We start from the raw sequence: 27,440 nt of genomic DNA, 5'->3' as shown, positions 1-27,440 counted from the left end.
GCTTTTTTAAAAATCCATTCGGCCACTCTATATCTTTTGATTAGAAAGTTTAGTCCATTTGCATTCAATGTTATTGATAAGTAAGGACTTACTCCTGCCATTTTGTTATTTGTTTTCTGATTATTTTGTTGTCTTCTCTTCCTTCTTTCTTTACTTTCTGTTTTTCCTTTAGTGAAGATAATTTTCTCTGGTCATATGATTTAGTTTCTTCCTTTATATTTTTTATGTATCTGTTGTATGATCTTGTTTTGAATACACCAGGAGGCTTGCAAATACTATGTTAAAACATACGATAAAACTATGATAACAACTTAACACTGTTTGCATAAACAAAAAAGCAAAAAAAAAAAACCTAATAAAAACTCACTTTAACTTCATATCCCCTTTTGAACTTTTTGTTGTTTCCATTTATTTTTTATTGTATTCTCTATGTTTTCAAAAGTTGTCATAGTTATTATTTTTTATTGATTCACCCTTTAATCATTCTACATAGGATAAGATAGTTTACACACCACAGTTATAGTGTTATTATATCCTGTGTTTTTCTGTGTACTTACCATTACCAGTGAGTTTTGTACCTTCAGGTGATTACATATTGCTCATTAACATACTTTGGATTGAAATACTCCTTTTGGCATGTCTTGTCTGACAGTTCTGATGTTGATGAAATTCCTCAGCTTTTGTTTGCCTGGGAAAGTATTTATTTCTCCTTCATTTTTGAAGGATATTTTTGCCAGTTATGCTATTCTGGAGTAAAAGTTGTTTTTCTTCAGCACTTAAAATATGTCATGCCACTCTCTCCTATCCTATAAGGCTTCCACTGAAAAGTCTGCTGCCAGACACATTGGAGCTCCATTGTATGTTACTTCTTCCTTTTCTCTTGCTGATTTTAGGAGCCTTTCTTTATCCTTTATCTTTGGGAGTCCGATTATTAAATGCCTTGTGATAGGCTTTCTTCTTCTTTCTTCTGCTTGATGAATTCTGCTATTAAAAGACCCCAATGCATTCTTCAGTGTGTCAATTACATTTTTCAACTCTAGAATTTCTGCTTGATTATTTTATTATTTCAATTTGTTTGTTAAATTTATCTGATAGAATTCTGAATTTCTTCTGTGTGTTATCTTGAATTTCTTTGAGTTTCCTCAAAACAGCTATTTTGAATTTTCTGTCTGAAATGTCACATATCTCTATTTCTCCAGGATTGGTCTCTGGTGCCTTATTAAGTTTGTTTGGTGAGATCATGTTTTCCTGGATTGTCTTGATACTTAGGGATGTTTGCTTATGTCTGGGCATTGAAGAGTTAGGTATTTATTATAGTCTTCACAGTCTGGGTTTGTGTGTACCTGTCTTTCTTGAGAAGTTATGTGAAGAATGTGGGTGTTGAGATCTAAGCTGTATCAACTTTACGGGGCACCCCAATCCCAATTACTCTGTGGTTTTTGCAGACTCATAGAGGTACCACCTTGATGGTCTTGGACAAGATCTGGGAGAATTCTCTGGATTCCCAGGCAGAGACTCTCATTCTCTTCTCTTACTTTCTCTCAGACAAATAAAGTCTCTGCCTCTGTTCTGAGTCACCTGAACCTGGGAATGGAGTGATATAAGTACTTCTGTTGCCACCACCAGTATGACTGAGCTGGATGAGATCTGAGACATACAGAGCACTGAGTTTTACCCAAGACCTGCTGTAACCACTCCCTGGCTACTACTTAAGGTTGCTCAAGGCCCTGGAGGCTCTACAATCACGATGTGGCAAAGCTATCCAGGCCGATCTTTCCCTTTGGGTTTGGTGAGTTCCCTTAGGCCATGGGCATATCCAAAGGTGCTGTTCAGGAGCCAGGGACTACGCTTAAAATCCTTAGAAGTCTACCTGGTGTTCTGTTGTACTGTAGCTGTGCTGGCACTAAAACTACAAGATGCAGTCCTTCCCATTCTTTTCTCCACTTTCCAAAGGCAGAGGAGTCAGTCCTTGGCCACTGCCATCACAGGCCCATGGGGGTACTGCCAGACTATTGCCATTGTTCCCTTAAGGCCCAAGGTCTCTTCATTCAGCTTGTGGAGAATATGGCCTGCCTGGGGACTCACCCTTTAAGGCCTTGGACTCCCCTCTAGCCCCAGGCAGGTCCAGAAATGCTGTCCCAGAGCCAAGGCCTGAAATTGGGGACCCTAAGAGCCCACTTGGTGCTCTACTCTCCTGTGGTCAAGCTGATACCTAGGTGCAGGACAATGTCTCCTTTACTTTTCTCAAATAGAAGGATTCTTGCTCCACAGTCACCACAGCTGGGGAATGTGCTGAATCTCAACTGAAGTGAGGAGGTCTCAGAGTCTCACCCAAAGCCCTCAATGTAGAACTTGGGTATTGCTGCTGGTTATTCAGGGCCCAAAGGCTTTTAAGTTAGCAGGTGATGAATGGTGCCGGCACTATGTTTCATTCCCTTTAAGGCTGCAGGTTCCTTTCTGGCCCAGGGTGTATCTAGATTTGTTGTCTGGTGGCTGAGGCCTGGAAAGGGAGCCTCATGACTCTGACCCATTTCCTATCTTATTGTGTCTAAGCTGGTATCCCAGATGCAAGACAAAGTCTTCTCCAGTTTTTCCCCTCCTCTCCTCAGGCAGAAGGAGGTGTCTCTTTTGGAGCTGCAAGCAGTGTGGCCTGGGGTTAGGGGAGGAGTGATGCCAGCACTTCCTTAAGTGCCCAGTTGATGTGTCAGCAGGTCACATGCCCTCCCACTGTCAACCCCTGTGTGCTAGCTATGAACCCAGTTCAATACGAGAACTCACCTAAAAATTGCAGTCCTGTGACCTAGACCACCTTTCAAGTTTATTTAGAGTTCCAGAGCACTTTAGCCCACAGTGCCAAGACTTGCAAGGACTCAAGTTCTCATCACCTCTATTGGCAATTTCCCTCTGGCTAGTGCCGGTTTAAATGCTCCCTCTGTGGGTGTGTGTTAGCTGAATTTTGTCTGTTTTTTCTTTCTGCTATGACCAGACAGCACTGAGTTCAATCGCTTCATGATTGCTGTGCTCTCCTTCCCTCAGTGCTCAGAAACACTCTCTGCACCATGCTGCCAATGCTGGGGGATTGGGGAGGAGGTTGCATCAGTGATTCATGACTGTTTTTTTTCTACCTCTTTATTTCTGTTTCAGTGATATGAAGTTAAAATCAGGTACTGTGAGTGCTCACCTGATTTTTAGTCCTTATGAAGGTGCTTTGTGTGTGTGTGTGTGTAGATAGTAATTAAATTGCTGTCCTTGTAGGGGGACGATTGGTGAAGCCTTCTATTCTGCTGTCTTGCTCTGCCTCTGATTTTCAGCCTACTGATTTTCAACAAAGGTTCCAAGAACATACAATGGGGAAAGAATACCCTCTTTAATAAATAGTGCTGGGAAAGCTGTATATCCATATGCAAAAGAATAAAACTGAACCTCTATCTTTCACCATATTAAATAAGTCAACTCAAAATAGTCCAAAGACTTAAACATATGACTGGAAACTGCAAATCTACTACAAGAAAACATAGAGAAAATGCTTTAGGACATTGGTGTAGGCAAAGATTTTACAGCTGTGATTTCAAAAGCATAGACAACAACACTGACAAAACTAGACAAATGAGATGATATGACACAAAAAAAGCTAACAGCAAAGGAAACAACACAGTGAAGGAATAATCTGTAGAAAAGGAGAAAATATTTGCAAACTATTCATTCAACAAGGGACTAATATCCAGAATATACAAGGAACTCAAACTACTTGACAGCAAAAAAAAAAAACCAATAATCCCATTAAAAATTGGACAAAGTATCTAAATAGACATTTCTCAAAAGAAGACATCCAAATGGCCAACAGTCATGTGAAAAAATGGTAAACAATACTCATCACCAGGGAAATGTAAATCAAAACCACAATGAGATATCATCTCATCTCATTTAGAATGGCTGGTATAAAAAAAAAGAGAAAAATAACAGATGTTAGCAGGAATGTGGAGAAAAGGAAATTCATATATGCTGTTGGTGGGAATGTATATTAGTTTAGCCATGTACAGTATGGAGGTTTCTCAAAAAACTAAAAATAGGACTACCATACAACCCAGCAATCCCACTTCTAGGTATTTTTTGAAAGGTAAGCACTCCAAAGTTTACTGCAGCATCATTCACAATAGCCAAAATATAGAATCAACTTAATCAATGGATGAAAAATAAAGAAAATTGGGCATACATGTATATGTGTGTTTGCGTATCTATCTATCTATCTATCTATCTATCTATCTATCTATGCCAAATTTTCGGTATTGTGTTTCTACATATAAGTGTACACACACACACACACACACACACACACAATGGAATACAATTCTCCCATAAAGAAATAAAATCCTCTTATTTGTAGCAACCTGGGTGGAACTGGAGGTCATTATGTTAAACTGATAAAAGTTGGGTACATAAAGACAAATATTACATGCTTCCATTCATACATGAGAGTTTAAAAAGTTGATCTCATGGAAATAGAGAGTAAAATGGTGGTTATCAGAGGCTGCAAAGGGCAGGGAGTAAAGAGATGAAGAGAGGTTGCTTAATGGGTATAAACGTACACATAGATAGGAGTAGTTTCTAGTATTTAATAGTATAGTAGGGTGATTATAGTTAAAAATAATTTTTTAATATCTAAAAGAGAAGATTTGAAATGTTCACAACATAAAGAAATGATAAGTATTTGAGGTGACAGATATCCTAAATATCCTGATCTGATCATTACACCTTGTATGTATGTATGTATCAGAATATTATGTGTACTCCATAAATATGTACAATTATTATGTATTAATAAGAAATGAGGGAAGCAACCATTCTCTACAGGATTTAAATAAGACCCAGAGTTTTATAGTTTAGTACTCAAACATTTAAGATATAATTCAAAAGTACTTATCATGTAAATATCTAGGAAAATCTCAAACTGCACAATAAAAGAAAAACAACCAATGTCAATGCTGAAATGACATAGATGCTAGAATTATCTGACAAAACCTTTAAAGTAGGTATGATACAAACACTCTGAAAACTAATGGGAGAACTGTCTTAAAAAGAATTGAAAGATAGAAAGTCTTAGCAAAAAATTGAAGTTACAAAGATGAACAAAATAGAAATTTTAGAATGAAAAAATGTAATAACCTGAAAGAAAGAAGCACAAGATAAGATCCATAGCAAAATGGAGATGCCAGAGGCCCTATAAGCTTGAAGCAATAAAAATGAAAATAATACAATCAGAACAGAGAGAAGCACAATTGAAAAAATAAAAAAGACAGAAACCTATAGATTCAAGATAGTTACTCAGTGAATGCAAACAAGATAAACTCAAGAAAATATATACCCCAACATATAATTAAATTGCTGAAAACTAAAGAAAAAGAAAAAAATTTTGAAATCTTATACAGAAAAACCATAGTATATTCAGAGGAACAGTGATTCCAGTAACCAAATCAGAAACTATGAAAGAGAGACAGAAGTAGCACAACATTTTTTGAGTACTGAAAAAAAAATTATCAACCTAAAATTCTATATCCTGTAAAAATATCCTGCAAGAATGAAGGTAAAATAAAGGCATTCTCAGATGAAGGAACACTAAGAGACTTTGTTGTTAGAAGAACTACTCTAAAGTAATTGGTAAAGTAAGCTTGTCAAACAAAAGAAAAATGATAGCAGTAGGAAACATTTAATATCAGGAACAAAGGCCAAGCAAGAGAAATGGTAAATATATGTATAAACATAAGAGAATGTTCACTTCTTGAGTTCTGTAAAATATGTTTGGTGGTGAAAAGCAGCATATGAGATCAACACACAAAAATCAACCATATTTGTATATGTTAACAATAAACATTTGAAAACTGATATAAAAAAGCCTTTTTCAACAATTCAAAACTTCAAATACTTGAGTATAAAGATAACCAAAAAATGTACAGGATCTGCATGCTAAAACTGCAAATGCTGATGAATAAAATAAAATAGGACCTAAATAAACAAGGAGAAATGCCACATTCATGGATTAGCACATTTAATGGTGATCAATTCTCCCCAAATTTATTATAGAGTTAACATAATTCCAATAAAAATCACAATAGGATTTTTTGAGATAGAAACATATGTAAAGGTCAAAGAAGTAGAATAACCAAAACAATTGTGAAAAAGAAGAAAGAAGAATCATAGTACTTGATTTTAAGACTTACTATAAAACTACAACAATAAGGACTGTGTGGTATTGTCAAAGAGATAGACCCATAAATCAATGGAACTGAATAAATAGTTCAGAAATGCATCCACACAAATGTGGGCAATTAATTTTTGACAAAGATGTAACAGCAATTCAGTGGAGAGAGTGTAATCTTTTCAACAAATCATACTGGAGCAATTGGACAACCACATGCAAAAAAAATAAACCTTGACATAAACCTCACACTCTTTGCAGTAATTAATTTAAAATAGATTATACATCTAAAAAATACAATAAGTTTTTTTATAAGTACAGTTGGGAAAAAGTTTTTAATCTTGGATTTAAGCAAAGAGTTCCTGGAGAACACATCAAAAGCATAGTCAATGAAAGAAAAAAATAATAAATTAGGCTTCATCAAAAATAAAAACTATATTGTGAAGACATTGTTCAGAGATTAAAAAACAAGTTAGAGGCTGAAAGAAAATATTTTCAATCGATATTTTATAAAGGATTTGTATCCAAAATATATAAGATCCCTCAAAACTCAGGAAAAAAATGAGCAAAATACATGAAAAGACACATCATCAAAGTTATATGGAAAGCAAATACACACATGAAAATAAATTCAACACTTCCAAACCACCACGAGAATTACTGTGTACCTACTAGATTACCAAAAATGAAAATGGCTAAACCTACCAAGTACTGGTAACGATGCAGAGTAACTGGAACTCTTCAAAATTGCTAGTAGGAATGAAATACGGTAAAGCCACTCTGAAAAACAGATTGGCAGTTTCTCATAAAGTTAAACTTCCCACATGATCTGGCAAATCCACTCCTAGGTAGAAAAATGCAACAGCCTATGCACATAAAGTTTACAGGAGCTCTAATAATAGTTTTTAGAAGCTGGAAGTAACACAAATGTCCTTCAGCCAGTGAATGGATAAACTGTGATATGTTCACACCACAAACTACTTCTCAGAAATAAGAAGGAATGAACTATTCATATATACAACAACTTGGATGACTCTCAAAGGCATTATGCTCAGTGAAAGTTTACAAATCCTATGAGTCCACTTATAAGTCATTCTTGAAAAGACAAAACTGTAACAACAGAGAACAGATCAGTGGCTGTCAGGGGCCAGGGATGGGAGAAGGATGTTACTGTTACGGGTGGGTCTTTGTACTTAGAGCTCCCAAGATGGTGGTGGGCAGCTCCCAAGATGCAGCAGGCCACTCCCAAGATGGTGGCAAGCCTTTTATTCTCCGACCTGGGTTTTTTGGCCTCGCAGATTCCAAGGAATGGAACCCTGGGCCAGGCGGTTAGTGTTATAGCTCTCTTAGAAGCCAGGGGTCATGGAAGAGAACTGTGGAACCAAGCGACTAGTGTTCAGCTCAATTAAGATGAACCCGGGCACTTAGCCGTGCAGGAACAATGGTGAGCCTTTAGCCCGATCAGGAGCAGCAATGGGTGCCTCACTTGATCAGAAGCTCAGTGGACACCCTGATGGATCCGGAGGGGTGGAAGTCAGTGGCGGGTCTACGATGGCGGCAAACAGCAGTGGTGGACAGTGAGCTAAAGCTCAGCTCGAGCCGTAACAAATATGGACCAGAAGAGTGTGCAGTTGCAAGATTTAATAGAGTGAAAACAGAGCTCCCATACAATGGGAGGGGACCCAAAAGGGGTTGTCCACTCCCGGCTCGAATGCCTGGGGGTTTATATCACAATCATTATCCCTCCCTTGTGCTCTCAGATGAGACGTAATTTGACTATTTCTTTACCTCCTGCTTTTAGCCTAATTTGTATTTTAGTGAGACCTCTTTATTACCTGATTGGTCAGGTGTGAGCTGAGATACAAGCCTTGTGTTTAAAGATGGTTGCAGTCACCTTCCCCAGCTAGGCTTAGGAATTCTTAGTCCTAGGAAATCCAGCTAGTCCTGTCTCTCAGTGCCCCCTCTCAACAGGAAAACCCAAGTGCTGTTGGGGAGGTCAGCCAACGACCACTGTTAACTGCTTCCTGCTGAATTGGGGTGTAGTAGGGGTCATGCAGTTGAGATTTCCTCAGGAGGGGTGACTTCAATGTCATTAACATCAGGGCATGGGCTAGCAGGCTAGTCCAGGGGTCCGCGGTAGATCTTAGACATGATCTGCATCTGGGGCTCCATTTGAAGAATGATTTGTAGTTTTACAGCTTTGGTTCTGGAAGAGACAAACTTAACAAGCAGGTTAAAGATACAGGGATTGACATGTATGGCCTGAAGTGCAGGGGCATATGGGTGTGGGCGGTGAAAGTGGGGTTTCCTTTAGAAAAACTCCTATACGATGGGGCATCAACATTTCCAGGAAGCTGCATTCTCCATAGAAGCTCTTGCTAAGGGGAGCTACTGGTAGTACAGAGGCATGGAGGAGGTGCAGTGAGAGTGAAAGGGGGTAAGAGAACAGTAAAGAGAAAAATATGACAAGGGAGGGCCATGGGGATGTATGATTCTAGTTACTTTCCTCACGGTTGTCACTTGAAGAGCAGGCGCAGATCCTCTAGAGGTTCACAGGAATAGCTAGTGTAGTCTCCCGGATTTTCGGGTTCCTTTGGCAGTATCCAGGGTTTGACTTGAGTGTGATGTATCCAAGACTCAACTCCAGCCACTTTAACAGCGATGGGGGTAGATAAAATGACTGGGTAGCGTCCTTCCCAGGATGTGTCTAGGGATGGGGAATTAGAGGGAAGGGACTTGACTAATACCATGTCACCAGGGTGGAATAATTCCTTTCCCTCCTCTCAGGGAGAGGTTGCCTGTAGTGTTTTAAGAACTTGTTGGTATTTGGCTAAGGAGGTGATGTCTGCAACTAAGTTGGCCATCTCTCGGTCAAGCACAAGGTCATTGGTTAGGAAGGGCTGTCCATATAGCATCTCATATGGACTAAGTCCTGCTTTCTGGGGAGAGTTTTGGATTCTTAGTAAGGCTATAGGCAACAGAGCAGGCCATGCAAGGTGGGTTTCTTGGATTAGCTTTTTTAGATGTCGTTTGAGTGTTTCATTCATTTTCTTGACTTTTCCTGAGGATTGTGGCCTCCAGGCGCAGTGTAAGTGATATTGTATGCCTAAGGCCTGGGATACTCCCTGGGTTACTGCAGCCTTGAAAGCAGGGCCATTGTCACTCTGTAAGCCTCGGGGAAGTCCAAATCTAGGAATTATTTCATGAATTAGCACCTTTATTACCTCTTGGGACTTTTCTGTCCTACAAGGGAAGGCCTCTGCCCAACCAGTGAAAGTATCTACCCAGACTAGTAGATACTTAAATCCCTGAGATTTGGGCATGTGGGTAAAATCTAGTTGTCAGTCTTCTCCTAGGTAATGGCCTGTTCTTTGTTCTCCTGAAGGAGCCTGGCGATAAGGCAGAGGATTATTTCTTTGGCACCCTTCACAGGCCCTGACTATCTGCTTGATAGTTTTGAAAAGGCCTGATCCAGTAAATAATGATTTGGCCATCTGATGGGTGCTATCAATGCCAAAGTGAAAGGTCTGGTGAAGGGGTTTAAGGCATTTCCATTGGCTAGCTGCAGGCAAAATTATTTTTCCTTCTTCGGTGGCTAGCCATCCTGAGGGGAGAAAACTATGTCCTCATGAGGTTCCCCATTCTATTTCTTCTGCTGAGTACTGGGGCTTGGTTTCCTGGAGGGCATTACCCCATACTAGGGGCCCTTCTATAAGCATTTCTAATGGAGGGTCCCACCTGGTGGCTCTTTTGGCTTCAATATCCGCTTGACGATTCCCTTCTATTTCTCTTTCCTTTCCTTTCTGACAACCCCGGCAGTGTAAGGCTGCCACCTCTTTAGGTTTCTGTGCAGCCAATAATAATCTCCAGTGGCTTCCTGATGTTTGATAGGTGTTCCCTCAGAAGTTAGGAATTCTCTCTCTCCATATTGCTGTGTGGGCATGGAGGACTAGGTAAGCATACTTAAAGTCTGTATATATATTTACCCTTTTTCTTTCTCCTAATTCTAGTGTATAATGGCCCCTGCTTTTGCTAGAATGCCTCTCCCTAACAAAGGAGTGGGGCTTTCAGGCATAATTAGAAAGGCATGTGAAAAGAGTAAAGTTCCCCAGTCACAACTTAGTGGCTGGGAGAAGTATCTAGTGACTGCCTGTCCTAGGACCCCTCGGATAGTGACAGATCTGGAGGACAGTTCTCCGGGACAGGAGAGTAAGACTGAGAAGGCTGCACCAGTGTCCAGGAGACAGTTAACCCCCTGACCCTCAATGGTCAAGCCCACCCGGGGCTCTGTGAGGGTGATGGCATGGGCTGGCGCTTGCCCCGGGCACCATCAGTCCTGTTGCTGGATCATCTGGTTAATGGCTTCTGACTCAGGACCTTCATCCCCTGGGGCAGTGGGCCTTCCAGTGATTCCCTTGACATAAGGGGCATGGACAAGGGGTTGGCTTATTTCTATTCGGACAATCTTTTTTAAAGTGTCCTTGTAGACCGCACTGGAAGCAAGCCCTATTAGGCATTCGATTTGCCCAGCCTTTCCCTGTTCCAGAGCCTCCAAAGTCAGCTTGCCTGAGGGCCATGACTAAAGCAGTAGCCTTCTTTTTATTCCATTTGTCCCATTCTGCCTGCTCCTTCTGATCTCTATTATGAAAAACCGAGGTTGCCAAATTCAGTAGGGTTTCTAAGTTTTGCTCTGGGCCTAAGGTGGACTTTTGAAGTGTTTTTCCTAATGTCTACAGCTGAGTGAGTGAATAATTTATCCTTTAAGATTAGTTGGCCTTCAATAGAGTCAGGTGGCACGGAGGAATGCTTCCTCAATGCCTCCCTTAGTCTCTCCAGAAAGGCAGTAGGATTTTCTTCCTTTCCTTGTGTTATAGTGCACATCATTGACTAATTCATAGGCTTCTTCCCAGTTTTCTTTAGTTCTTCTAGCACGCAAGTTAGCAAATGTCTGAGGCACCAATCTCCATGTTCTGATTCTGTGTCCCAGTGAGGGTCTACACTGGAACTGCCTGCTGGCCTGTGGGGAATTGTTCTCTTTCCTCTGTTGTCATCCTATCGTTGGCCTGACTGAGATACCAGAGATCGCCAAACTCTCGGGCTGCAGTTATGGTGGCACATCTCTCATTTGGGGTTAGTGTCTGACCTAGCAATAACATTATATCTCCCTATGTCAGATCAATATACATCAATATAGCCATCAGGGTTATCTGAGAATTTACCTAGGTCTATTTTAATTTGCTTCAAGTCTGAGAGGGAAAAAGGTACATGCACTCTGATTGGGCCGAATTCTCCTCCTCCCACAGTTTGGAAGGGGCATAATCAGGGAATTTTGGCACTCTTGGGTTCATTGTTTACCCCTTTGTATATCTCTTTTTGGGCCATTTATGTTGAAGGGGGGTCTTATTAATTGGGGAAGGGGCAGGGAGGTAGACTCTGAGGGCTTCCTGTAGAGCATAAATTACACTTTTTACATAATTGCGAGTTGTCTCTTAATGAAAAGAAAGTTTGCACATATGGCACTTCACTCCATTTGCCCTCATTTCTACAAAAGAGTCTAGCTGTAAGATGGTGTTATAATTTTTACTTCACTCAGGGGGCCAGGTTTCTCCCCCTTGAAGAGGATATAGTGGCCAGGCAGTAACTGCAGAAGAACATAAGTCGCTTATTTTTTTATTTTTATTTTTATTTTTAGATGGAGTTTCACTCTTGTTGCCCAGGCTGGAGTGCAATGGTGTGTTCTCAGCTCACTGCAACCTCCACCTCCCGGGTTCAAGCAATTCTCCTGCCTCAGTCCCCCGAGTAGCTGGGATTACAGGCATGCACCACCATGCCCGGCTAATTTTGTATTTTTAGTAGAGACAGGGTTTCACCATGTTGGTCAGTCTGGTCTCAAACTCCTGACCTCAGGTGATCCGCCCACTTCAGCCTCCCAAAGTGCTGGGATTACAGGTGTGAGCCACTTTGCCTAGCTAAGTTGCTTATTTCTTAGTGTCTGAGGGTCAAATTGGTCCCAATTCTCCAGAATACATCTTAGGGGTGTTTTTGCCTTGGGGGAAATGTTTCCCATCTGAAAAAAAGAACATAGGGATGCCAGCACCGCTAGTCATTTTCCAATGAGCATTAGTCCTAGAGTGTCCTCTGTGGTCCTAATGTTTATTCCTTTTCAGGATGCGTAACCACCCATGGACCTCTGCTTATTGGATTAGTTACACTCACTGATGTAGCAGTCCTGCACCTCTTTTCCTGCCTTTCTTGACCACAAAGAAAGGGGTCCAGGCTGGTGGATTCTAGTAGTCCTTTACCAGCATGCCCAACATTGCCTTTGTGCTCAGGGGTGAGTCTTAGAACTGGGCTGGGTTCCTGAGTATTTCATAACATCCCAGGTGCCCCATCAAGATGCATTCCCGTAAATAACAGTTCTTATGCAAATTCACTTCAGAGAGGTGTGTAAGTAACCTTTTGAGTCAGTACTGAGATAGAGTTTTTTGATTCTATAAGTACTTTAAGGCTTGGCTGAGTGCAAACAGCTCGCATGTTTGAGCAGACCAATTATTAGGCAATTTTCCTAACTCTGCTTTTACAAGAGTTTCCCTATCAATTACTGGATACCCAATTGTGGTTTTTTTTCCTCAGTCACCTGGGAGGAACCATCTATCTCCTGTCCCGAAGGGAGTTCTTCCTAGGTCTGGTCGGACCTTTGCATGGTAATTAAGATTTAAATCCCTCATTAGGAAACCTGCTGGGTTAAGAGAATTTTCAGTGGTTAATGTTAAATTACCTTTTTCTAACAGAATAGCCCCATACTTTAAGATTTTTGAGTTAGTAAGCTACCTTTTTGCTTTTTTTGACTTAGGATAGCTCTGAACTGGTGAGGTGTGCTCTCAATGAGGTTTCCTCTAAAGGTTATTTTTTCTACTTTCTTCTGTTAGCAAAGCAGTTGCCACTACCGATTGAATGCATTTGTGGCTTACTGGGTTAAGGATTTTTGATAGGAAGGCTATGGGTTGTCAGTGGTCTCAGTGTTTTGGGCTACGCCCTTGTTTACACTGACAACAACGTAGTATTGGAGTGTTATAGCCTCATAGAGAAGACCTTCAATTATCAACTATAGGCTTAACTCTCTTCATTTCTCCTTCATGCTCTCTCAATATCTTCACTAGCTCTTTTGGTTTGGGTCATCTATGCAGACAAATGCCAAATCCTTACCTGTAGCCTTAACTTTTCTAAAAACTCTAGTTTTGAATTTGCCAGTTCCTCCTGTATGTGGTCACTTAGATATCTTGCAGGAACACTGAACTCAATTTATCTAACACAACTCTTCAACACTACCTACTGTATTTAATCACCATCTTCTCAGTCATTTTCAATTATAACATTTCTCTCTACGCTGTTTTTCAGGCATCTTCAAAGTACTATAGATTCTACCTCTGTACTATTTTTCTTATCAATATGGCCCCTCTTTTTCATGTCTATGCACTCTTTTTCTGCCTCTGAAATGCTCTAGGCTCACCATGCTGGTTGTCATGAAAACTGTAAAAAAAAAAAAAACAAAACTATATTTAATTGTCTATGCTTTGCTTTGGAAACTTCATCAGACCCTCTCTTACTCTTCTTACTTCAAACATTCCCTTGTATTAGCTCCTCTTGGTTTAGGATTGCTGTGGTTTGACTATTTGTGTCTCCTTCAAATTTCATGTTGAAACTTAATTCCCAGTGCAACAGTATTAAGACGTGGGGCTTTTAGAAGGTGTCTGCTCACTAAACACCAAATCTGCTGGCACCATGATCTTTGGCTTCCCAGGTTCCAGAATTGTGAGAAATAAATTTCTGTTCTTTCCAAATTACCCAGTGTCAGATATTTTGTTATAGCGCATAACAAATAGACTAAGACAAGGATCATACTTTCCTTGTACCTTTTTTTCTTCTCCATTACTCCAGCATGTGCTGGTGTTTCCCCAGAATTTTATACTATCTACACAGACTTTGGCTTCATGTCAATATACCTGTTACTAGGTGATTCCTAACCAGTATCTATACATTCCAAAAGAGTTCCAGAAAATTAGTTATTATCACTAGGCAGCTTCATCACTTGCTTCAACAATAAGAATTATGTCAGTCAACTTTGAATATGTGCCAAGAAATGGAAGAAAAGAAGCATTGAGGTAGAAGCAGGAATATGGTTTGTACCCAGTGCAAGCCTGATGTTGTAGTATAAGCCTACCATCTATTACAGGCTGAATTGTGTCCCCTACTCCACAAATTCTTGTGTTGAATCTCTAACCCTGAGGATCTTAGAGTATAACTGTATTTAGAGTTAGGCCCTTTAAAGAGGTGATGATAGTGAGGCCATTAGTGTGAGTCCTAATTCAAATTGAGTGTTGGCCTTGTAAGAACAGGAAATTTGGGGAGCTGGGTGCAGTGGCTCACATTTGTAATGCCAGCACTGTAGGAGGACAAGGAAGGCGGATCACTTGAGGCCAGGAGTTCAAGACCAGCCTGGCCAACATGGCGAAACCCCATCTCTATAATAATAATAATAATAATAGCAAAAATTAGCCAGGGGTGGAGGCATGCACCTATAATTCCAGCTACTTGGGGGTGCTGAGGCATGAGAATCACTTGAACCCAGGAGGTGGAGGTTGCAGTGAGCCGAGATCGCACCACTGCACTACGGTCCGGTCTGGGTGACAGAGCAAGACTCTGTCTCAAAAAAAAAAAAAAAAAGAAAAAAGGGAACAAAAGAAGAAAGTAGAAGAAGGAGGAGGAGAAGGAGAAGAAGAAGGAGAAGGAGAAGAAGAATAAATTTGGATGCCCAAAGAGACATTAGGGATTTGTATTCACAGAAGAAAGGCCATCTGAAGACACAGTAAGACAATAGCCATCTGCAAGCCAAGGAAAAAGGCCTCAGATAAAACCAAACTTGCCACCACCTTGATCTGAGGCTTCCAGCTTGCAGAAGTGTGAGAAAACAAATTTCTTTTGTTTCACTCAGTCTGTGGTATTTCGTTATGGCAACCCTAGAAAACTAACTCACCATCAATAAAAATGCATTTATAGCACAAACTGTCAACCTGTGTAAGTGCTAACAATAAAGTTTAAGTGAAAGAACAGACCCTGAACAAATTTTGTAACCACAATCATGTGGGAAAAGAAAGAAAATTCTATTTCTCCAGTTTTACCTCTTTTCCTCATTTATTGATATTAATATTTATTAATATTATGTGTAATTTAATAATACACATAATATTTAGGTCATGCTAATGTCCTTTAAAATATACATACATTGAAATAAAGCTAAGTTTATATCTTTGTAGCAGCAGCAGCCTCTGAATATAAGCCCCCTCTTTCCTTTTCCCTCTCCTTCATCTAAAATGGACAATTACGGGGAACCATAGCAGATGTTGCTGGTGAGATGCTAGTAGAAAGACACGTAGGAGATAAAGCTTAGGCCAGGCACAGTGGCTCACACCTGTAATCCCAGCACTTTGGGAGGCTGAGGTGGGCGGATCACAGGGTCAGGAGTTCAAGACCAGCCTGACCAACATGGTGAAACCCTGTTTCTACTAAAAATACAAAAATTAGCCGGGCATGGTAGTGTGTGCCTGTAATCCCAGCTACTTGGGAGGCTGAGGCAGGAGAATCACTTGAACTCAGGAGGCAGAGGTTGCAGTGAGCCGAGATTGCACCACTGCACTCCTGCCTGGACTACAGAGGGAGACTCCATTTCAAAATGAACAAACAAACAAACAAACAAAAAGCTTTGTGTTTACTCTTCCTCAAATTTCTCTTTGGCTCTGTAAAGTGGATATAAATGGATGAGAGTAAAAGCACCCCTGGCTGGGTAGTGGGAATCCTCTGCAATGCCTCAACATAGTTATTAAACCCTTAAATTCAGCTGCATGAGAAGCTGACAGCCAAGAGCTAAAATGTACCCAGACATTGCTTATTCTATCCTTTATTTCTGAACTATCACAATCAGTCTCTGATCTTTAATCTAGTGATAGTTTCTTATTTTTTAAAAGTCAAGAACAGCAAATACTCCTGCTGAGGATGGCAGTTTTAGTGAGGGTGAAGGAATAGGGAAGTGGAATATGTTGACAACTTACTTCTATAGCAAAGAGATTATTTCTTATGTTATCTGCTTCCCCTGGCTCCTGGAATCTGGCAAAGATGTTTTTCTTTAAATATTGTATGAAACTGGCTTTCCATGTGGTGTGGGATTTAGAAATTAGATACTTGAACAAGTTGTATAAAGGAAGTGTATATGAACATTGTTTAAAATGCCAAGACGTGAGCATTCAGCTTGGAATCAATTACAACCTTAAAGCAGGTCTGCCACACTGCCAAGTTGCTCCTCATTCTTTATGTCAAGTAAAACTGGACAGATCATAGAGGTAGAAAGTTATGGACATCATATTTGGGGAGGTAATTTGAATTGAGCAAATACATAGCTATTTTTTAAAATAAAATGCCATATTTGTAGACTCATATGTTCTGTTGCTTCAGACACCCTGATTCAAAGACAGACAGACAATCTTTTAATCATTTGAGAAATGAGAATTTAAGAAAAACTCTTCTTTCTGATTATGAGAGAGTGACTTCTTCCAACTCTCTGGAAATCCACTCAAGTGATAGGAATACTCCATCCTATAAAAATTGTTGGTCTGGGTATAAATTGTTAATCCATTATTTCAAGAAATATTTATTGAGTACTTCCTCTAGGTACTGGCTGCACATCAAGATAGACAAAGTTTCTACCAGATGGAGCTTATATTCTAGCAGAGGAACACAGATAGTAAACAAGCAAATAAGTTCAGATACTGTTAAGTGCTAAAAAGAAAATATAACAGGATAAGAGTGGGTCCTCACTGAAGACCTCAGTGAGAAGGTAACACTGAAGCTGAGAACTCGATGACAGAAAGAAGCCAATCTTGCTCAAATCTTCTAGGGGAAGAGCTTTTCTGGAGGAGGGAATGGCAAGTGTGAAGGCCCTAACATGAGAGGAACTTGGCATGTTCCAGGACAAAAAGAAGGCAGTGTATCTGGAATATTGTAATAGGAGAGATGCGATCACAGAGGGTGGTCAGGGACCAGCTCTGGTAGGTGAAGCTAAGGATAATGAGTTTTACTCTAAGTAGGAAAGGAAGCCCATGGTTTCAGGCAGAAAAGCAACAGGATCTGATTTATATTCTTAACACATGGTTCTGACCACTATGAGGAAAATCAATTTTACAGAAAAAGAGAGGTCAACCAGGAGGCTGTTGCAGTATCCAGATGGGAAATGATGGTGCTTCAGATAGGGTGGGCATAGTGCAGATGAAGAGAACTAGACTGATACTGTATGTTTCGAAGTTGAGACTTAATAGGACTTGCAGAGAGATTGGATGTTGGAGATTAATGAAAAAGGGAAATCAAAGATGACTCCTGGATTTGGGGGTTTAACTATCGATTGACAGTGCTTTTATTTTCAGTGAAATATGAATGATAATCATTAGATAGATGACAGGGTCAGAAAAGGGAAAGGAGAAGACTTATGGGAGGTTTGAGGAGAGAGGAAAGGTGTAAAAGAGTTATGAAGTGTGAGAGAGAATATAATAGTAAGTAAAAAAGAATTGTTGCAAAGAGTTTTATCTCCCATTTGGGATTAGCTATTAGACAATACAAGATTTCCTAATAGGATCCTTGTCATTGTGACTGTCTTATCTAAGAGAAGGGATGGTCAGAAAAGAGAAATACAAATAGAAAATGCCATTTTACACCACTGTGCCTCTGACGTGTAGGGTGCTCAGTCTGGAAGCCAGGTGGCCTTCTGCCAGAAACAAGAGAAACATTATTTTAGAAAAAAAAAAATCTTCCTGTAACATGGAAACATTCATATGAGTCTTACTAAACCTGAAAGAATTTACAGCAGAGATAAGCCAAACAAGTTTACTAATAGTGGTAAGAACCTTCAGCCTAAATGTACTATTTCCCACATTCCAGAATCTTGTTGAATCTAGGAAATGAACCTAATCCTATTTACCCATCTCTCCATCCATTTTTCTATTGATTCATTTATTTATTTAATGAATATTTACCGAATGTCTGCTATGTGCTGCTATGTGCTAGTAACAAGGTAGATGCAGTCTCTACCTTCATAGAGCTAATATTCCAACAGAATAAACAGACAAGAAACAAGTAAAGGAAAAGAAATGATGAATGCTCAGGGAAAGCCTCTTTGAGGAGATGAAACTTAAGTCGAGGCATGAAAGATAAGTGTCGGTAAGCTATACAAGAACCTGGGCAGGAGCATTCCAGACAAGTGTCAACAGGAAAGAATCTGGCATGACCAGAGGGATGCAAAACAGAGAAGAGTGACAGGGGATGTGACACCAGTGCCAGGCAGGGGCCAGCTCACTTAGGAGAAATCAGAAAGATCTTATGAATTTTACTCTTGCTCCTCAATCAAATTTATCCAAAAGTTGCCAGAATAAGCTTCTTAAAAATGTCGATCCCAGCAATCATTTATCTGCTTAAAAACCTTCAGTGATTTCTCATTGCATTTGAAATTGAATCTAAATTATCCAGCTTAGCCTACAGGACGTGGAATGAATCAAGGATACGGCTTAGATTTTTGTCTTCTACAACTGTATGGTGCACCAATGATAAACTGGAGATGACTAGAAGAAGAAAAGTTTTTTGGGGGGATTGGGGAAATCCCATTATATAATACTTTCAATGCATGTGTAAAAAAATTCCATGAGTATAATTAATTAAGAAAATCTTTGGTGCACTTCTATTCTGTTGTCTACATTAAAGAATTCAGGGCCAGGCACAGTGGCTCACACTTGTAAACTCAGCACTTTGGGAGGCCGAGGCGGGAGGATCGCTTGATATCAGGAGCTCGAAGCTAGCCTGGACAACATGGCGAAACCCCATCTCTACTAAAAATACAAAAATTATCTGGGCATGGTGGTGGGTACCTGTAATCCCAGCTACCCAGGAGGCTGAGGCAGGAGAATCGCTTGAACCTGGGAGGCGGAGGTTGCAGTGAGCTGAGATCACGCCACTGCACTCCAGCCTGGGCAACAGAACGAGACTCTGTCTCAAGAAAGAAAAAAAAAAATCATATTTGTGAGAAGTCCTATGATCAAAAAGTATCTTTATTCAAGACTTCTATTATGCAAACTTATTATGCATACTTATTACCCATTGGCTATAGTATCTTTATTCAAGACTTCTATTATGCATACTTATTATGCATACTTATTACCCATTGGCTATATTCGTTTAGCCTATTGGAAAGTTTTTTTTTTTCAACCCACCTCCTCCAACTGCTTTGCCAGTCCCCAGTCTTCTTTCCAATCATTCCACCTCTCCATAAATTTCATATTTGATATGCCCTAAGTATGACCAAAGCTATTACCACATCTGGGATTTCTCTGTACCCCTCCCTAGCTTTTTTTGTCTCTTAGAACTTTAATTTCACTTTGCTTTGTGCATTTTTTGTGATCTTCAAAACCTTCTGCTCTTTCCCCGCATGCTTCTCCAAAGGTCCTTGTTGCTAGCTCAGAATTTCTCTACCTTTTTGTATATCTATAAAATAATTCCTTTAGAGTATTCTAGGCACACTCTTTTTTCCATCCCTGATCCAGGGTTGCCACTTTCTTTTAGTTTAGAGTATAATGTCTACAACTAAGCCTTGGGAACGAACAGACTATCTTTACACTGAGGGACTGTATTTTCCATTGATTCTGAAAGTGAGAGACACAAGGACGCATAATCAAAAGTGCTACCACCTATGTAGGATAAAGTCTCTCGTGTTGCAGGACCATTTGTAGTAGGCAGATTCTATGAAGGATAAAAATTTTGTAGAAAAACATTTGCCTTACTAAAACAACAATCACAAACAAAAAACAAGAAGAAGAAAACCCAGTCTACGCTCTATTCCACTAATTATTTTTCCGTGAAAGGAATCATAGCGTAGTGGTTAGGAGCACAAGCTTTGGAGTCCACCAGAGTTGACCCCAGCTTAGGTTTTAAGCAGGGGTGTGAATGCCATCACTTAACCTTTTTAAGCCTCAGTTTCCTCATGTCAGTGGAGACTATTTTTATCTACTTCATGGATTGTTGTAGGGACTACATAAAATATTACTGGTTTATCACTCAAAACCTAGCATATAGACATTTAAGTATGGTAAGTTTTCTTATTTTATACTATGTAATTACCTTATTGTTTGTGTTTTCGCCATTTCATCACTGTACTCACATATAATTTTAAACTTCTTCCTTAGAACTTTCTAAAATATGCACAGTATTTTTAGATTCTGACCTATACTTTCCAGCCTTTTATTTCACCACTCTGTTGCTCATACTCTCTTCCCCCTAAGAAACAGTTAGGACAATGGTTTTAAAATATTTTCTGATCATTTGCAGCGTATTTTTCACTGATGGTCTATGAAAAACTTTTAGGAACTCGTTGATTTCCTATAAAATTTTTGTGCTTATATACATATACACACAAATTATACAGATAACTGTATATTTAAACACTCATATAATGTATATATTAAAAATAAATATAAGTATTCATTTCTAGAATTTCTTGTGCTTATATACACATATACACACAAATTATACAAATAACTGACATATTTAAACACATATATAATTTATACATAAATTATATATGTGTTATTATATATATTACATTCCTGCTTTTAGGACCTCAGCACAAAAATCAGTCTTCCCCATGGAATGAAAGAAACATAAAACAATTATCAAAATATTGTTAGGAATACTATACCAAGAACTAAAGTAAAATAACTCAAATCCCTAGTTACACTGAGGTATTTCTACATGTCTATATACTCTCCATCATGTTTGAATTTCCAGAAGCAGATCATAAAGTTATCAGTGTCATCTTGTGATGATCTAGATAAACCCTTTCAAAAGGGAGTGTTGGCTTTTAGGCCAAGAGGTTGAGCCTCAACAAAATTCTATCTTGGTGCTCACACAGCTCATCCAATCACAGTATCCCTTTTTTACCCAAACCCTTCATTCCCTCACTCCTCCACTCCATGTTTATGCTTAATATAATCAGTGTTTTAAGCTTAGTTTTCATTCACCAATGGCAGAGCTCTATAAATTCTTCAAATGAAACACATTAGCATCCATAAATATTATTTGGTGTTTATACTACATTGTATTTTTTTATAAGTCTTTGTGTTATTTACATGAATAGTCCATACTTTTGGTTCATGGTTTTGCATGCCATCATGACAGATCCCAAAAATTCAACAAAAAGAAGAGGATCAGTTCCAAGGTCTGCTACCAGTATAAGGATAAGACTTGAGTATTCATCAATGTTAGGAAATTTTTAAAGTCCACACACACTCTGGTAATTATGTCTGCTCCAAATGACACTAGCTAACATGTACAGTATTATTGAAGAATATTTGTAGTTATAATTATATTAACTATAATTTATAATAATTTATATTCTAAATCTAATAAATTCCATTTTAACAAAATAACATCTGCAAACTATTCAAACTCATTAAACCCCCAAATGAAAATATAATCAAAGTAAAATAATTATAAGGCATGTTGGCTTTTGCCAAGTAATGTTTCCATTTAGATAGTGAGGTCCCAGTCCTCTACAACACAGAGTCTTACATACTCATGTTCACATAGTATTTTTTTTTTCTTGAGACAACGTCTCACTTTGCCACCCAGGCTGGACAGCAGTGATGCAATCATGGCGCTCTGTAACCTTGACCTGCTGGGATCCAGTGATCTTCCCCCCTCAGCCTCCTCAGAAGCTGGGACTACAGGCACATGCCACCATGTTTAGCTAATGTTTAGAAACAATTTTTGCAGTGATGGGGTCTTGCTATGTTGCCCAAGCTGGTCTTGAACTCCTGGCTTCAAGTGATTCTCTGCCCTCAGCCTTCCAAAGTGTGTGATTATAAGTGTGTGCCACTGCACTTGATCATACAGTCTATTTAAAAAAAATAAACAACTGTGCAAAAATATTTAATATTTGAACTGACAATACATATAAAATGGTATTTAAAAACATTAAAACATATAATCACTTTCAAAGGCTTAGGGTTTTAAATTTAACAGAAAAGAGAATGAAACTGATGAAAATGATGCAAGTGTTCACGCACAGATTTAATTTTCTCTCAAACTGCAGGATACCTTGGACCCAGTATAATGGACTCTCGTACACCATCATACAATGAAGAAACAATGCTTTTAGAGAATTATCTTTAGGTGAAGAAATTAAAAATGTCAGAGTAAGAAATATACTGTACATAAACATACACATGAAAAGCCTAAAAATCCAGCTGTGACAAGAGACTTACAACTGAATCAAATGCAATTTGAGAAAACCTACAAAACATTTGCTTTCTGTAATCTCTACATACAACTTTAGAAACAGAGATTTTTGCCCTGGACTGGTATAACTAAAACACCCAAAACTTTTACTAACAGCATTTAGCGTAAAGGTGCTGATTTCCTTGGCATATAAATTTTTTGTCTTATTTTCTTTTTCTTTCCCAAATCCACCTATCTGATTAAATATACTGAGTAAATTTTAATTTTTTTAAACGCTGCTTTCTGAGTGTTCTTTGCTATAAGTCCATCTTGTTCTGGAACCTCTGTTTTGATATCCTCCCCATAATTATTTTCTCCTTCATATTTTCCTTGATTTGTATTTAATCAGTATTTTAGCTCATGTCTACCAAAATCACATGATCTAGAATAAGAATGTTTTTTGTATCTCTCAACTGACTTCCAGGAGTGGTCTCAGCTTGCTGGTGAAGTGAAATACCTCATAGAACCTGGCTTTTACCTTCTCTAGAGCTCTTTTCTTCCCTCCTACGACCACATCTCCTACAACCATATCCTGTTCAAATCTACAATCATAAATTCTTATCTTGTTTCCTGAATTCCTACGGAAGGAATCTGAGGAATTTCTTCTGCTGGAAAAATGTCTTTCTGATTTATATGGCTTTTCTGCTTTGCTACTACTTGTCTCGGTTTTATCAGTATTACAAAAATCTCTTGGCTCTTCAGACCTGTCTCCAAAATAATACAGTATTTCATCTGAAGATGGAGAGAGTATCTATCTTTCTCTTTTACTCATGTTTTTTGATATTGTAACTTATCCCTGCTTTTCCAGTAGTTTTTCCACTTCTTGCTTTTGGTTAAGAAAAGATGCTAAAGTATTAGTTGAAACTGGGTTTCACCTTTCCTACTCTGTCTATCTGGTTTGGGGATACCCTAAGCGAATGTCTCTTCGAATTTCAAGCAGACTTGGAACAGTTCCTCTTATGTTTCTTATGCTTTTTGTGACTGGAAGAGAATGAGGATGATGCAGAAACAGATTCATCAGCAGAAGAAACAGGAAGAGGAAGTAGTTGATTTTCTTTTCTTCTTTAGCCTTTCTCCCTCCCTCTCTCTCTTTCTTTCTTTTTTTTTTTTTTTTTTTTTTGAGATGGAGCCTCACTCTGTTGCCCAGGCTAGAGTGCAGTAGTGCAATTTCAGCTCACTACAACCTCCACCTCCCGGGTTCAAGTAATTCTCCTGTCTCAGACTCTCGAGTAGCTGGGACTACAGGTGCATACCACCATGCCCAGCTAATTTTTTGTATTTTTCAGTAGAGACGGGCTTTCACCATGTTGGCCAGGATGGTCTCAAACTCCTGACCTCAAGTGATCTGCCCGCCTTGGCCTCCCAAAATTCTGGGATTACAGGCATAAGCCACCGAGCTTTGTCCCTTGTTCTCTTTTGAGAGCTTATATAACTTTCTTCACATGCTTCTATTTTCTTTGTTTTCTGCTTTTCTTCCTTTTCAGCCTGTTTTTTCTCTGTACTTATTTATGAAGTTTCTGCGAAGCATTTTTTACATCTTTCAAAGTCTCATCCAAAGCCCAAGCTTTCTTCCAGTGACTTTCAGCATTTAAAAACTTTTCTTCTTCTAACTATCCTCTTCTTTCTACAAGTGTCTGTGAGTTGGAGAGTTTTGTAATGTAAGCTCAAAATCTTCTGTTGCTTTGTTCAGACTTCCCTTTGGTGTATTTAATCCTTCATGAACTGCCAGCGTTTTATTTGTTTGTTTCTAGAGCTTTATTGTATTCATTCACAGCATCCGCATGGCATCCAATCTTAAACTGTAATCTTCACACATTTTAAAGCCCAAGGTGCATATTGTTACTTTCTTAATGCAGAAACAAAATTGTCTTAAGAGAAATTATTGCTCTGCAGGCCTTTTATTAAAGATGGTGGATGGTTGCAGCAACACGAATGGAACTGGAGTACATTACCCTAAGTGAAATAACTCAGAAACAGAAAGTCAAATACCGCATGTTCTTCCTTCTAAGTAGGAGCTAAACAATGTGTACACATGTACATATAGAGTAGAATAACAGACATTAGGAACTCAGGAGGGTGGGATGGTAGAAGGAGGGTGAGGAAAAAAAAAAGAGAGAGAAAAAAATTACCTGTTGGGTACAATGTTCATTATTTGTGTGATGGGTACACTAAAAGCCCAGACTTCACCAGTGTGAAATATATCTATGCAACAAAACTGCACTTGTACCCCCTCAATGTGTTTTTGGTGGTGGTGTTTTTTTTTTTGGTTTTTGTTTGTTTGTTTTTTTTTAGATGGAGTCTTGCTCTGTCACCCAGGCTGGAGTGCAGTGGCACACTCTGGGCTCACTGCAACCTCCGCCTCTCAGATTCAAGTGATTCTCCTGCCTCAGCCTCCCAAGTAGCTGGGATTACAGGCATGCACCACCACGCCTGGCTAATTTTTGTATTTTTAGTAGAGACATGGTTTCACCATGTTGGTCAGGCTGGTCTTGAACTCCTGACCTCTTGATCCGCCCACCTTGGCCTCCCAAAGTGCTGTGATTACAGGCATGAGCCACCATGCCTGGCCCTAAATATGTTTTTTTAAGGTGGTGGATTATATTAGTCTATTCCTACTTTTTCTAGAAAAAAAATTACTCCTCAATTAACAAATCCCACTGAACTCTGCATGATATTTTTATAGGCTCCAAAGAATTGTTATTTAGTTCAACACACCTCCTGTAGCACAAAGGAAGTTCTTCAGGGCTAATTACACCTAATTTAATACCAGATAGGTGTGGTGGAAGAGACGAGGTATCCAGAGACAGTGCAAGCTTTGCATGGCATCTATCAATATCCTTGATTCCAGCTTGAATGATGTCACCAGTTTGATAGTAAGATAAATAACCCCTATGGTTACTGTGAGAAGACACATTTCTTAATGGACAAAGACCTGTGATTTCTAAGTGGAATGTATCTCCTATGATGCCACTTCATCAACAAATCAACACCATGAAAAATTAAAATTCCTGTATAAAACTAGTTTTTCCAATCACTAAGTCACCATGCTCAATAGTTTGGAAAAACAGCTCTCTCCAATCTACACTGGGTATCTCCATAAATAGTTTTGGGGTGACAATGATTTCCCGCTTATTGCTGGTCCCTAAGTGTTACATCACATGTTTTTGTTTCCTTAACCTTGTCCATAACTCTTTAGATAATATTTTTATTAAGCTCACTCAGTTACAGCCTTTGTGTTTGCCTTTTATTTCCTGCTATTCCATTGACTGATACATTATGGAAAGGAGGAGAAATTGGGAGGGACCAGATGAAGGCAACCATTGGCATTGGGATGCAGTTTAAGTGGTGGAGCAGATGCAGCTAAGAAGGCAGAAAGTGGAATTCAGAAAATATGGGCACAGTCTCGATGCCGTGGCTGATGCCTGTAATCCCAGCATTTTGGGAGACTGAGCAGGAGCATCACTTGAGGCCAGGAGTTCAAGACCAGCCTGAGCAACATACCAAGACCTCGACTCTACAAAAAATTAAAAAATTAGCCAGGTGTGTTGGCACGTGCCTGGAGTCTCAACTACCTGGGAGGCTGAAGCAAGAGGCTGAGCCCAGGAGATCGAGATTGCAGTGGGCAATGATCACACTACTGCACTCCAATCTGGGTGACAGAGAGAGACCCTGTCTCAAAAAATAAAATAAAATAAAATAAAAATCTTCTTGAGAAGACAATAGGGTCTCCCGATAGAGACCTGGGAAATTTCTTAGTACCTTCAGTGATTCATTTAAAAATAATTTGTAAAGTTGGTCATTCTTCCCTCTATTTTGTTACTGTTCATCTGTTTCATTCGAGAGTGATATCTTTTGATTTTCCTTACACTTTGGAGGTTTCTGGGCCCAGTATACCCTGCATAATAATGACAATTATGCTTCAAGATATGTTTTCAAGACAGTGTTTACCAACTTTTTGATAAGCTTTTTGTCAGCCTATCTAATGAAGAACCATGAGTTACAGACTTATCAGGAATCAGGTAATCAAAAACAAGTTTATTCCCACTACTTTATTTTCACATATTTATTGTGAGATACTTTTGTTAAATGGGTCTGTAGAAATTTCAGGCTTTATGTCCCTTTCTGTCTTTAATAAGACACGTTCAATAGATTTAGAGCCCACCCAAATCCAGTATAATCTCACTTAAAAAACAAACAACAACAACAAAGAAAAACAAAAAACAAAAACAAAAACAAAAAAGAAAAGGTCTTGCTATGTTACTGAGGCTGGAGTGCAGTGGAAAGATCATAGCTCACCACAAACCTTGAACTCCTGGACTTAAGTAATCCTCTTGCCTCAGCCTCCTGAGTAGCTTGAACTACAGGGATTCATCCAGCTAATTTTTTATTTTTTGGTAGAGACAAGTTCTTGTTATGTTGCTCAGGCTGGTGTTGAGCTCCTGGCCCCAAGCAATCCTCCTGCCTTGGCCTCCTAAAGAGCTAGGATTACAAGCATGAATCACTATACTCATCTCTATAATCTCATCTTGATTCTTATATGGGCAAAAATCTTATTTCCAAATAAGGTCACATTCTAAGGCTCTGGGTGGGCATGAATTTTGCGGGCATGGGAGGGTGGGGTTCTCTATGAACCTGTTACAAGGCCATTAAACTTCATGAGTTGCTAGGTACAGGGTTGCCTTCCTGTCAGGCGAGCTGGTGTGGGCTCAGCAGGTAGTACAGACAGGCTTCTACAAGTGGCAGAGATGCCAAAGCAGCCAAGACATTGGGGACTTAAGGAGGCAAGGGCAGCCTGTGTGCAAGAGAAGCAGAAGCAGCAGATGTTGTTTTTAGCTGTGAAAGATTTTCTGAACTGAAAATTAAACAGAGGAATGCTAAGATT

General features: G+C 39.3%; 1 long non-coding RNA gene and 1 pseudogene across 3 annotated transcripts in view; both read right to left on the bottom strand.

The window, feature by feature from the left end:
- LOC102724527 (uncharacterized) overlaps positions 1–27,440 on the bottom strand; it is a 74,864-nt gene that overhangs the window by 34,318 nt on the left and 13,106 nt on the right. The window lies entirely within an intron of this gene.
- Positions 22,179–25,681, bottom strand: LOC100130618 (tetratricopeptide repeat domain 14 pseudogene; annotated as a pseudogene).

The sequence above is a fragment of the Homo sapiens genome, chromosome 7, assembly GCF_000001405.40.
Source record: "Homo sapiens chromosome 7, GRCh38.p14 Primary Assembly".
NCBI classification, from domain to species: domain Eukaryota; kingdom Metazoa; phylum Chordata; class Mammalia; order Primates; family Hominidae; genus Homo; species Homo sapiens.
This window is presented reverse-complemented; position numbering and strand designations above follow the sequence as displayed.